General features: G+C 47.9%; 1 protein-coding gene and 1 long non-coding RNA gene across 2 annotated transcripts in view; one reads left to right on the top strand and one right to left on the bottom strand.

Annotated features, from left to right (window-relative positions):
- TMC2 (transmembrane channel like 2) overlaps positions 1-8,166 on the bottom strand; it is a 107,008-nt gene extending 98,842 nt beyond the window's left edge. The window contains exons 1-2 of the mRNA NM_080751.3: positions 8,084-8,166; positions 7,423-7,470 (exon numbers count right to left, since the gene is read on the bottom strand). Coding sequence (NP_542789.2) covers positions 7,423-7,470; positions 8,084-8,117 — 82 coding nt within the window. The 5' untranslated portion in view covers positions 8,118-8,166. The remainder of the gene's footprint in view (positions 1-7,422; positions 7,471-8,083) is intronic.
- LOC105372504 (uncharacterized) lies at positions 1,127-10,211 on the top strand. The gene is made up of 3 exons (XR_937204.3): positions 1,127-1,339; positions 2,615-2,801; positions 10,129-10,211. It is a non-coding gene; the product is annotated as an uncharacterized LOC105372504 (long non-coding RNA).

The following is a 13,526-nucleotide window of genomic DNA, read 5'->3' as shown; positions in this document are numbered from 1 at the left end:
AATGTAGCATGCTGTGGTTGAGAGAACAGCAGATGATTTAGACAATGCCAGTAAGGCCATAAAACTCCCTTGTCAAGAGGTTTATGAGATTGGGTGGGTGGTGGTCCAGAACAGAACTGCCTTAGATAGGATATTGATCTCCCAAGGTGGGGAATGTGTGCTGTTTTAGTGGAAGAATGCTGTACTTATATTCCTGCAGACCTCTCTGAAATCTTTGATATTACTAAAAAGATCTAGGAAGTAAACAAAGAAATCAGAAATTGGGTAATTTGATGAGTAACCTCATATTTGGTTACATGGACTCTAGATTCGGGATGAGATCTACTTTCTTGTTTAGTCAGGGCACTCTTAGATCCTGGCTGAGAAGTAGATTATACAAACTCTGATGACAATCCTTCTCTTAGTATTTGTCTGTGTGCCAGCATTCAGATGTGGGATCTCCAGAGTTTTAAATGCTACTGCACTGCTGCCATCATTCAAATCATCCAGCAAGGGTTATCCACTAAAAAGAACTGGAAAATCTGGCTGGGTGCGTTGGCTCATGCCTGTAATCCCAGCACTTTGGGAAGCCAAGGCAGGCAGATCACTTGAGGTCAGGAGTTCGAGACCAGCCTAACCAACATGGTGAAACCCCGTCTCTACTAAAAATACAAAAAAAAAAAAAAAAAAATCAGCTAGGCATGGTGGCGAGCGCCTGTAGTCCCAGCTACTTGGGAGGCTGAGGCATGAGAATCGCTTGAACCCAGGAGGTGGAGGTTGCAGTGAGCCAAGATCATGCCATGCACTTCAGCCTGGGTGACAGAGCGAGACTCTGTCTCAAAAAAAAAAAAAAAAACTGACATGCAGGTTGAAACAGCTGCCACCAGAAACTGGATGTGAAACAACTGTTAACAGACAATTGATATGAAATGATGACCTCTCAAATACTGGTGAATATCTAGATTGACATACTGATGGCTTTTCCTTCAGCTTGGGCTGAAGAATGACCACAAGGAGAAATTGAGAACTCAAACCATCTTCCCTCATACTGAGTCTGGACACAGAGAGCCCAGCTATACCTTAGTGTCTGTATTAAGATGACTTTGTGCTACGCCTCTGCTTCATGAGCATGTCTTTATTTTTCTAGGCATCTCCTACCCAGGCAAATGTTGATTGTTCATTACAGGATTTTCCCAAAGACCTGTCAATTCTTCAATTTGGGCTCTAAGATTCTTTGAATGCCTCACCTCAAAATCCTGGCCATGCTGTTTATTGTGGACTATTATGTTGTGATTCTCACCCAGTCTCATTCCAGCTCTCACTTTGAAAGACCTGCCTTCAATCAAATTTCCAATTCTCAGTAAGTTCCGGCCTTCCTTCCCCTCTGTAAGATACTGCCAAAGCTTTGCCTGCTATAAGCAATAGATCGGTTTTGTCTTATCAACAGGTTGTGGGGTGTTAGGGAGCCAGCTTTGGACAATAACTTAGATAAATGTGTTTTGTTTTTATTTTATTTTATTTTTGAGACAGAGTCTCACTCTGTCACCCAGGCTGGAGTGCAGTGGTAAGATCTTGGCTCACTGCAGCCTCTACCTCCCAGGTTCAAGCAGTTCTCCTGCCTCAGCCTCCTGAGTAGCTGGGATTACAGGTGTATGCCACCTTGCCTGACTAATTTTTGTATTTTTAGTAGAGACAGGGTTTCACCATGTTGGCCAGGCTGGTCTCAAACTCCTGACCTCAAGTGATTCGCCCACCTTGGCCTCCCAAAGTGCTGGGATTACAGGTGTGTGCCACCATGCCTGGCCTTGTATTTTGTTTTAAAAAGAAAAACACAAAATACTAAATACTAAGTATATTACTAAATATAATATACTAAGTATAAAATACTAAAAATATAAAAATTAGCCAAGCGTGGTAGTGCTCGCCTGTAGTCCCAGCTACTCGGGAGGCTGAGACAGGAGAATTGCTTGAACCCGGGAGGCGGAGGTTGCAGTGAGCCAAGATGTGCCACTGACTCCAGCCTGGGTGACAGAGCGAGACTCTGTCAAAAAAAAAAAAAAATTGTGGACTAAAGAGAAAAGACTGTAAAAATATAGAAAGAAAAAGGGAGTGATAAATTATGGCTGGGATTGTTGGAAATGCTTCACAAAGAACTGATGTTTATGAAGGAGACTAGAAGACGCCATCCCAAAATATGCCACTTCGGCATAAAGATTATTTCAAGCTGAAGGCAATTAGATATATGTCGCTCCTCTGCCCTTTTGGACTAAAAGCAGGACATATATTTCCATTTGGAAGGGGTCTCCCTCTCCTATACTTGGAAGATAACTACTCCAGAGACAACTCTTAGCACCTGAGAAGACTCTTACCTGCTTAACAAACCTTACTGAATAACACTTATTTACCACACGTTTCCTAGTCACCTTCCATAACTTACCCAGAAGCCCCAAAACGCTTTTCCTTTGTCAAGCTTCTTCTCCACACTCTATCACCCTTTAAGATGATATATACCTCTAAGATAGTATATAAGCCCCAAATTCTAACCACCTCCTTGAGTCATCTTCTTTGTGAACTCTCATTTGTACATATGTAATTCAATCCTTTTTTCCCCTCTTGTTGATCTGTCTTTTGTCAGTTTGATTTACAGAGCCTGTAGTCACTGAACCTAGGAAGGTAGAGGAAAAAAATTCTCCTCTCCAACATTTACTCTGAAGTTTTTTTCAAATAAGAAAATTTTTTAATCAAACATGAGACTAATGGAAAGAACTCACATATCAATATGGGGGAGGACACAAAGACCGTTAAGCAAAACTTATGAACAGGTAAGTTACTAATGGGGAAATGCAATTAGGAAACGGCGGAAAATGCAGTTTTACTAGTTATCAAAGGAAATTTAAAATAAGTCAATAATGGGATTTCCTGTCTTGTTTATAGTATTACGTTTTTAAAATTTTTTATCCAGGACTAATGAGACTTGTTAAAATGCATATTTATTACTGGTCGCAATATAAATTGTAAAGCAACTCTTTATGCAGTTTGGCAACATGTAACAAGAGCTTTAAAATACTTTCTTTTTTCTTTTCTTTTTTTTCTTTCTTTCTTTTTTTTTTTTTGGTTTTGAGACAGAGTCTTGCTCTGTCGCCCAGTCTGGAGGGCAGTGGTGCAATCTGGGCTCACTGCAACCTCAACCTCCCAGATTCAAGAGATTCTTGTGCCTCAGCCTCCCGAGCAGCTGGGATTACAGGTGTGTGCCACCACACCTGCCTAATTATTGTATTTTTAGCAGAGAAGGGGTTTTGCCATGTTGGCCAGGCTGGTCTCAAACTCCTGACCTTAATTAATCCGCCTGCCTCGGCCTCCCAAAATGCTGGGATTACAGGCGTAAGCCACCATGCCCAGCCTAAAAATACTTTCTGATCTGTTAATTCCACCTGTAGGAGTCAACCCAAGCCCAAGAATCTTCAATGCAACATTATTTCTATTATAAAAATGGGAAATAACCTAAATATTCAGTAATAGAATAATGAATTAACCTGTGATTTATCTACTATGTGGAATATTTTACAGCTCAATTAAAAATAATTACCATGAAGTCTTTAATACATACTTAGGGGCTACTCTGAATCTTGAAGGATGAACAGGAGTTTGCAAGAGAAGAAGTGGGTAGAGAAATGGAGGGGGTGATTGTGGTAGCAAGTTAGGAGGATTCCAGGCAGAGGAAACAGGGGATTGAGGGGCCCCAGCAGAAATGCCAGGGAGTCTGGGGCATAGGCGTCCAAGGCAGAGCTGCGTCCCGGGTGTGTTCTGGTGTGGGAGGCAGGAGGAGAGGGGTACACGCCCACAGGGAGCTGGGTTGAAATCTGGAGGGTAAGGGTGTGATAATGGAGCATGTTTGCTGGGGCAAGGTCTACATCAAAGGGTCACACTAGCAACATGGAAGAAGGTGATGTGGGGAGGGTGACACTGCTCTGCAGCTGCTACAAGGAAGGTCTTGTGAGCATACTGGCTGTGATTGCTTCACTTATTTTAAAGGCAAAAAGAGGCACCAAACATGGGTCTGAAGCCATCATTAATAATCTCCATGTCTTTTTTTTTTTTTTTTTGAGAGTCCCTCTCTGCCGCCCAGGCTGGAGTGCAATGGCACCATCTAGGCTCACTGCAACCTCCGCCTCCCAGGTTCAAGCGATTCTCTCACCTCTGCCTCCCAAGTAGCTAGGACTACAGGCATGCACCACCAAGCCTGGCTAATTTTTGTATTTTTAGTAGAGACAGGGTTTCACCATGTTGACCAGGCTAGTCTTGAACTATTGACCTTAAGTGATCTCCCCACCTCAGCCTCCCAAAGTGCTGGGATTACAGTCATGAGCCACTGTGCCCGGCCATGTCCATGTCTTTGAGACTCGGTTTTAAATGCTGAGGTTTCTGCCAGGACTGATGAGATAACTGGCATAGGTGCATTGAAAAGTCTTGCGGCCAGGCACGGAGGCTCACACCTGTAATCCCAGCACTTTGGGAGGCTGAGGCGGGTGGATCACGAGGTATGAGTTTGAGACCAGCCTGGCCAAGATGGTGAAACCCGGTCTCTACTAAAAATACAAAAAATTAGCTGGGCGTGGTGGCAGGCACCTGTAATCCCAGCTACCTGGGAGGCTGAGGCAGGAGAATCACTTGAACTTGGGAGGCAGAGGTTGCAGTGAGCTGAGATCACATCACTGTACTCTAGCCTGGGCAACAGAGCAAGACTCCATCTCAAAAAAAAAAAAAAAAAAGAAAAGAAAAGAAAAGAATAGTCTTGTGTGCTATTTGCGGGAGTGAGCTAAGAGAACCTGTCCTGTATTTATCATAGAGCAGGTTTCCTTAGCCCACTCCTGCCCCAACCTCTTTCTTCTTCTCACTCCCTGTGGAAAAATAGTCTTTGATAAGACAACGTAAAGAAAGACTATTTTTGCATAATTTATCCAGGGTAGGAAGCTAGTCAGTGTTAGCCAGTGAGGTATGATTTGTCTTACAAATGCTCCAGCGCAATGCTCTGGAAGGCAGTAGCCCCCTGTTGCAAAAGGGACGGAGCAAAACAAATATTATCACAGCCATGACCCCTAAGAGAGCTCTAGGACTGAGTTCAGTGCTCAGAAAGGGCAGAGAAGCAGAGATCAAGGCAAGGGATCATGGAGAAGGGTTCCCTGGGGTCCCATAAAGATCAGCTCTATGTTGCTTGAAAGGACTGAATAGGAACGTCATTGTTTGCATCCTCTTCTGAGCTCTCTCTGTGTCCTCAGTCAGCTAATACAATGGTTTTCATTGTGGTAATGAACTGTACCAAGCATACTTCCCAGCACTGTAGATATAATTTGGTGTTACAATTTTTTTTCTGAGCTGTAATTCCTGCTGTAATTTAGTTCTCCAACTGAACGAAATTCACATGGAATGTGGAAAACAAGCCAGAATTTGCCCTTCAATCTTCCCCAGACCTCTTCAACACAGAAAATAAGCTGTTTTTTTCTCTTTCATAATCAGTTTTCAACAGACTCCACATAATGCATAATTTAGGAACTGGAAAGGCAGCTGTCTTGCTAGGAAGGCCTCCAAGCCCAGCACACGCTCTCCTAAATGTAACAGGCCTCCTCCTATGTAGCACCTGACTCGGTCAGAGAATTCACAGTGCAAAACACAGGCCGAGGAGAGGCTGCGGCAGCCCTCCAGTCCCGTGATCTCAACAGTTCAGTGCACTTACCAAATGATACAGGAGGAGGGAGAGTTCTCATCCTTCTTTTCAAGGAACACAGTAACAAACTGTAGCTATTCTGAGAAAAGAACATTGTATTCTTAAACTTTTATTCCCTCCTGGTAGAGTATAAAGGGAAGGATGAGAATATCAGGTCCCGTCGCAGGTGACTCCAGAGGAGATTTAAAATGGAAACCTTCATGGGGCTGGGTTTCAGTTAATTCAATATATTCCCAATGTTTAACTTTACTGCACCCCTTCACCACTTAGATCTGTGAAGTGAAAATTCTGACCAATTTCCTGTGTTCTATGGGAAAGGGAAAACGGCAGCGGCAACGTGGAATATTTCAGTAGGAAAGGGTTTGTGTTGTAGGCAAAATGGTCTTCCATTTCAGTCCTACTAAGGACTACTGCTCACAGGGGAGTCCCGCACAGCACAGCCCTGCAGCAGAGGCAGAGGGAGGCCAGGCTGGGTGCGGAAGGGACGGCATCTGGATGACTACGAGGGGAGTGGGGTGTGGAGAACCAGCCTGAGCATCCTACAGGCAGTGGTCACTACGGGAGCACCGTGGCCCGACCCCCGGGAGGAAGGTTTCTCGTCTGGCCACCCTGGGGCATAGAACTTTCTCACATTTGCTCCTTCATCTTTGGATTGAGATAAAGAGTGGATGAGGCAGGCAGGTGGGGTAGGAAGAAGGGACAGTGGCTGAGGCAAGTTCCGGGATAGGGGCCAGGAAGGGCTGTTGAGATGCCATGGCTGCACCCCCTGCCAGCCTCTGCCCAGCTCTTCCTTGCCTCCTGCTCCTGGGTCTCTCCCCTTGTAACACAGCGGCCTCACTGAAGCTCAGGCTCCCGACAACCAGACAGCAGCGGGTCACAGGAGCGGAAAGGGCAGATGAAGTGGCTCCTGGGGCCAGCTCCCTACTGGCCAGAGTGGGGCCAGGACAGGGCCCTCCCACAGGAGGGAGTGGAAAGGGCCCTCCCTCCCAGAATGGGGGAGGAAGGAGATCTCTTCCAACCCCCCAGAACCCCATCACTCCCCAAGATTCTGGTTTCTTGCCTACTAGTGTGGGGCGCAGGACCCAGCCCTGCCTGGGACGTGAAGGGGGAGAAAACAGCATCGCATCCATAATATTTTGTGACATGAAGATGCCCAGCCTGTGAGTGTGGCTTCTGCCCCTCTCCCCTGAACCCTCAGTCTCAACCAAGGGTTTTCTCTCCCGCCTATGGCTTCCTTGGGCTCTCCCACTTCTCCTGGAGCAAGTTGGCTCCCTCACCGGCTCACGGGAGAGCTGTGGTCACATTCCCAGTGGGAAGGTGATGGAGCACCCATTATGCCTACTACTTTTTGGAGGTTAAGAGTGTTCCTCCTAGAGTCCGGGGGCCTGGATGTGAATCTGGCCACACCACCCGCCAGAAGCCTGCACCGAGCTTCCCTGCCCTCTGTCTGGTGAATGTTCACTGCTTCCCAAGGCTCAGCTCAGAGTGTCACTAACCCTGGGAGTCTCCCCTGACACCGAGGGCTGAGCAGCACCTTCTCTGAGTGGTACTCTGCCCCCTCCCATGTTAAACACCTTGCCTCCCAGGAAGGCTCCATGCAGGGTGTTGAATGAGAGGGAAGGAGATGAAGGAGAATGTTGGATGGGTGGCTGGACTGTTGGGCTAAGCAGAGGGCACCCAGGCACTGCAGGCTCCCCAGAGACCCCACCACCCCATCTCACCTGTGTGTGGAGAGCCGCTCTTCACCCGCCCTTTCACTCCGCCTCGTGCTGTAAGAGACAGGATTGCTGACAAATGGCTGGCCTCTGGTGAGTCCCCCTCCCTGCAGACCCCCGGTCACTGTGGGACCCCTCAGCTGATTTGTGGCTGCCTCAAACTGGGACCCAGCTCCAATGATTTTACTCAGCAAATTATAGAGTCCCCTGCCTGTCACATTTGTCTGATACTGTCAGTCATGAGGTCAGAACATCCCCCACCCCCTGCCCTGCACAGAGACAGAGACAGATAGAAATCTGCTGAGGGGCTTGCTCGGAACAGGCAACCCTAACCGAGACAATAGGTGGCTGAGACGCCCCAGCAGGCTCTGAGGAGCATGCATCGGCCGTGACAGTCTCCAGTGCTGGCCTGAACACAGGTGCTGTGCACAGGTTGTCTTGAATCCTTCCAGTAGCCCTGCAAGGAGGTGATGACTACCCCCATCTCATGCGTGAGGATCAGAGAGGTTGAATAACCAGCCGAGGTCGCTCAGCGCACAGGGGACAGGCCCTGGACTCAAACCCAGCTCCTCCCTATGCCTCTGAACACCATATGTGCTTCCCCCATCCCCTGCTGCTGCCCAGGAACCCTGTGGGCGGGCCCCGCAGGATCAGGACGTGGACTCACCTTCCTCTTTCAGGCCCTTTACCTGGTGGCTCATGGTCAGCAGCACTGCTGGGGTCCTGCACAGGCTCACGCAGCGTGCTCCTGTATGCACGCCTTCAGCCTGGGCTGCTTTCCTGCCCTCATGGTGGCTGGCCTCCCTTCCTAGACCTGACAGCAGGCGGGGCTTCTTGGTTTGAGATTGAATGTGGAGGTGGGTGAAGTTTGGGGGAGAGAGACGGGTGAAGGAAGGCGACGAGTTCCCGGCCCATCAATCCGGCCACACACTCCTCTTCTCAGGTTTCCCTGCAAAGAGGCAGCATGGCCTCATGTTTCAGGCATCAGTTATACATGAGGGGCCCTGGAGGGGCCAGGAGCTGCAGGCTTATCTCCTGGCAATGATGCCGCTGGCACTCTAGCCAGAGGAGGTGTGAGGAGCATCCCAGGCCCTCTCCCACTATCTTGAGTCCCTGATTGGGACAAAGCACCAGGGAAATTCTAGAATGTTTGTTTAAGTTATTACTTGGGCTTCTGTTTAAAATGCAGATTCTGGCATGTGGTGGTTCACACCTGTAATCTCAGCACTTAGGAAGGCAGAGGCAGGAGGATTGCTTGAGCCCAAGAGCTCAAGACCAGCCTGTGCAACGTAGTGAGACCCCATCTCCACAAAAAGAAAAATAATAATAATAAATTTTTAAAAATAAAATGCATACTCCCAGGAGTGGCACTGGGCGTTGGAATCAGTCAGTCTGTGCCAGGCCCTGGGAGCCTGCACTGTGGATCCTGCTGCAGGCGTCCTGAGCCCACACAGATGAATGTTCCCGCTCAGCCCCCGCCCCCTCCCTCAGCAGCTTTTCCTCCCTGGCTTCAGGGAGGCACAGATTTGGCTGCTTTGAAAACCATCACTAAAGTGTCAGAGGGACCCTCTGGAAGGCAGTCATAAGGTCTCAGAGTGTGGAGTTCTTAATCTGGAGTCCCTGGAACCCCCAGAGCTGTGGATGGAATTCTGTGGGTTTGTGAATAGTGATGGAGAAAATACTACACTTTCACTTTTCCTAGCCTTAACTGCGATTTAGCATTTCCCTCAATCATGAATGTAAGCAAAGATGTGATTTTTGTCTCAGCAAAAGTCACAGTTATTTTTTTTCCCAATTAAACCACTGGGGATGTCTCAAAATATCTTACATGTTATCACAACTTCAAAATTATGATAGTTAGAGACCTGCCATGAAATCTTGTTATTTAATTAGGAAGCATATATTGTCATTATATGAAAGATATTTAAAGTGATTTTGATGCCTATTTCAGGATCATTGGTCTCCTTTGTAATCCTAGTGTTTTATTTTATGGATTTAATGTCTATGTTCTGAAAAGCGGTCTGTGGCTGGGCGTGGTGGTTCACGCCTGTAATCCCAGAATTTTGGGAGGCCAAGGCAGACGGATCACCTAGGGTTGGGAGTTCCGGACCAGTCTGGCCAACATGGTGAAACCCCATCTCTACTAAAAATGCAAAAATTAGCCGGGCGTGGTGGGATGTGTCTGTAGTCCCAGCTACTCAGGAGGCTGAGGCAGAATTGCTTGACCCAGGAGGTGGAGGTTGCAGTGAGCTGAGATTGCACCACTGCACTCCCTGGGTGATAGAGTGAGACTCTGTCTCAAAAATAAAAAAAAATATAAAAAGGGGTCTACGGACCTTACCAGGATGCCAAAGGATTCTATGACACAACAGAATAAAAAGCCTTCCCCAGGGCAAGTCTCCTGTGGGTGTCAAGGACAGACCTAGCCTCTGATCATGCCCATGTACTTTCTCAGGGGTCAGGAGTAGGAGTGCCTGTCCTCATGCAAGCTTGGCGAGGGAAGGGGCAAAGGAGCTACCTCTAAAATGCACGTGCAACGGTTCATCTCAAGCTTTGAAGCTTTTCTCTTTGTCCCACACCTTGATCTCCGACCCAACTGGTTCCTGCAGGGCCGCCCCAGTCCCCGGGGCATGAGGGCAGTGGGAGGATCTCAGTTGCATTCTCTGGCATCCATACTGCAGGACTGCAGCCGCAAATCCCTCTCCCCACCAGGGCCATGCCAGTGCAGGACCCCGGTCCATGTGAGAAGCAGCACGGGCAGCTGTGCAGCCACAGGACAGCGTGGCCCAGAGGACTGGTGAGTAAGGTTTCTGCTGGGGGTGCCCCAAGCGCTCTCCCCTGATGAGTGAGGACCCCCAGCAGCCCTTTACCCTGCTCTTTTTTTTTTTTTTTTTTTTTTTTGAGACAGCGTCTGGCTCTGTCGCCCAGGCTGGAGTGCAGTGGCGCGATCTCGGCTCACTGCAAGCTCCGCCTCCTGCCTTTACCCTGCTCTTGTTGTTCTCTGTTGCCAGAGGAGAAAGGCTTTCTACAACACCTTCATCTCCGGAGAGAAATTCCCTCCAGATAGGACTATCAAATTCCCTTGTACCTGACTGTCCACACAGTCGATAACTCCACTTTTCTCCTCACAGATAAAAATGAGCACCCACTGGGGTCAGAGTCAGTTCTCGGCTCTGGGGATTCATCAGCAAATGAAACAGAGACCCTTGTCCTCAGGGGCTGATGTGTTTTTGCTGTCTGGTGGCTGGGTTTAGCCCTTGGTGTCTGAAGGAGTGATCTAGGAATTGGCAGATTTCTTCTCTCTCACAACAAACCCTGCTTTCCACAATTATTTCTAAGGAATTCAAAAATCCAAGTTTGGAAGTCAGATACTGAACACAGAGTATTTTGCTTTTTTCTTTGCACGCCACCTAGATCAATTCCAATGCTTCCTGAGATGAATACACATTCAGGCAAGAGGGAGCAGGTCTCACATCAGAGAGTGTGAGAAAGAAAACGACAGTGATGTCTTAAAACTATTATCCTCGTGGCATGTGTGTTGCACACTGCTCTGTGCTAGGTCCTGCCTGGGGCACTCTTGCCCCAACCTCTCTATTTCTCACAACAGCCCGGTGAGACAGTGTTGTCACTCCCATGTGTCAGATGAAGAAAATGAAAAAACGCGGAGCCCTTGTGTCTCCTGGGCAGGTCTGTGACAAGAGATCAATTGAGTCTGGGTCTGGAAGCTGGGATATGTGGCTTTGACTTGGGCTGACCATTAAATCCCCAAGTGCCTTCTTGTGAAGGTCACTTCTGGGCTGTGGTTTCCTTGTTGTTCAGGGTTAGATTCCGTAGTGGACACTGCCAGTGATCTGCCCAGATTCCCTCTCAGAGCAAGTGCACCCATCCTCCAGGGCTAAGGCACATAGCGGACCCCTTCAACGGAGGAGAATTGCCTTTGGCCGAGCAGGGGCTGCTGAACCCTGAGGTAATCCCATCACCATCCCCGGATTAGCCTACAGCCACAGATGGATGAACAAAGAGGTATGACAGCCCGGCCTCTGTCAAAAATGGGAACAACTTATTGATGTCATTCACATCCCAGAGCTTCCTGTGAGATGAGCCAGAAGCTGGACTCCAGTGGGGTCTCTGCTCATCCCCTTCTCCTGCCCTGTCCTGCTTCTTGCCTCTTCTCCTGAGAGCACCCTCCACCCCCGCCTGCCCCGTCTCAGGCTCTGCTGTTAGGGAACCAGGCCTAATGTTGCCTTTTCTAGAAAGGCAGCTGCTCGTCCTCCTGCATAGGCTGGGGAGGGAACTGAGGGAGCTAGGCTGGTAGGGATGAAGGGCATGGGGAGGTGGGAGCAGGGATGCTGATGCTCACTTAGACCAAGGGGGAGACAAGGTCCAAGAGGAGAGTGGGACAGGCCTGAGCACCCCTAGGCTGGCCCATCTGCTTGGACATAGAATCCAAGGTGTATCTCTGAACCAAATGCAAGGATTCTATAACATGTCTGTCCTTCTAGCCTCCAATGACTATTAGGATTCGACTGCCTTTTCCCCAGTCTTCACTCACCCCCCGCCCGAGGGTTAATATTAAAAGCAGCAGAGCGGCCTACATAATTTGCAGGGCCCAGTGGAAAATGAAAATGTGGGGTCCCTTGTCCAAAAAGCAAGAAAAATGAACAGTTAAAGATACTAAAATACAAAGCCTTTCTCTTTCTACTATTTAACGTCATTCTGAGAAAACTCAAAATTTTAAATTATTTGCATGGATCCCACTGTTCATCTGTATATCGAGCAATAACAGGTTTCAGTGCAAGTATAAGAGTACTTAACTCCTATGTGGAATCACTGAAATGACACAATTTGTATTTTGTAGCTTGTATATGTGCAGGATTTCAGGCTTATCAGGACTGTAGAAATGCTGCACAAAGCCAACTCAATGGTTTTACTTCACGTCTTGGTATGTGCATATTCTACCAATGTTTCCTGCCTTTGGCTTACTGATGAGTGAAAAAGAACTGGGAAAAAAAAGGAATTATGGGTTTCTCTATCTTTTCCTTTTCTTCTGGGTCATTATTGTCAGCCTACGTGGTTGGCTAATCCAGGGAAGTAACTTGAATGAAAAAGAATAGGATAGGGTCCCTTAGTTGTCATGCTTCTTAGAACACCACTGCCTTCTTTTAGTGTTTGAAGCAAGTTCTGGATTAAATGGGAAGTGTAGCCCCTCTGGGCTGGAAGCATTCCTACATATTTAACCACAGATATTACACCCCTGCCTTGTACTGGCTTTGAGTCTTGCTAAACTCCCATGCGTCGTGGGCCCACTGGAATTATGTGCTCATGGGGCATCATATATGGGATACGCAAATAGGGCGGCATATGTTCCTATCTCCTCTGCTCATGTACGCACCCCATTGTCCCATCAGACTTCCCCCCCTCCTCCTTCTCCTTCTCTCCTCCTCCTCCTTCTCCTTCTTCCTTCTTCCTTCTTCTTCTTCACAGGCTCAGGCTATAATGCAATGGCATGAACATGGTTCACAGCAGCCTCAACATCCTGGACTCAAATCATCCTCCTGCTTCAGCCTCCCAAGTAGCTGGGGCCGGAAAAAAGCACCACTATGCCCAGCTAATTTTTTTTTTTTGTTGTTGTTTTTGAAACAGAGTTTTGCTCTGTCACCCAGACTGGAGTGCAGTGGCGTGATCCTGGCTCACTGCAACCTCTGCCTCCCAGGTTCAAGTGATTCTCTTGCCTCAGCCTCCTAAGTAGCTAGGATTACAGGAGTGTGCCACCATGCCTGGCTAATTTTGTATTTTTAATAGAGATGGGGTTTCACCATGTTGATCAGGCTGGTCTCAAACTCCTGACCTCAAGTGATCCATCCACCTTGGCCTCCCAAAGTGATAGGATTACAGGTGTGAGCCACTAAGCCCAGCCTTAATTTTTAATTTTTTAAAATTATTTTTTATTTTTGAGATAGAGTCTCACTCTGTCACCCAGGCTGGAATTCAGTGGCATGATCTCGGCTCACTGCAACTTCTGCCTCCCGGGTTCAAGCAATTCTCTTGCCTCAGCCTCCCAGGTAGCTGGGATTACAGGCGTGTGCCACCATGCCTGGCTAATTTTTGTA

This window comes from Homo sapiens, chromosome 20 (genome assembly GCF_000001405.40).
Source record: "Homo sapiens chromosome 20, GRCh38.p14 Primary Assembly".
NCBI classification, from domain to species: domain Eukaryota; kingdom Metazoa; phylum Chordata; class Mammalia; order Primates; family Hominidae; genus Homo; species Homo sapiens.
Note: the sequence above shows the minus strand (reverse complement) of the source record. Positions and strands in the feature narration are given on the sequence as shown.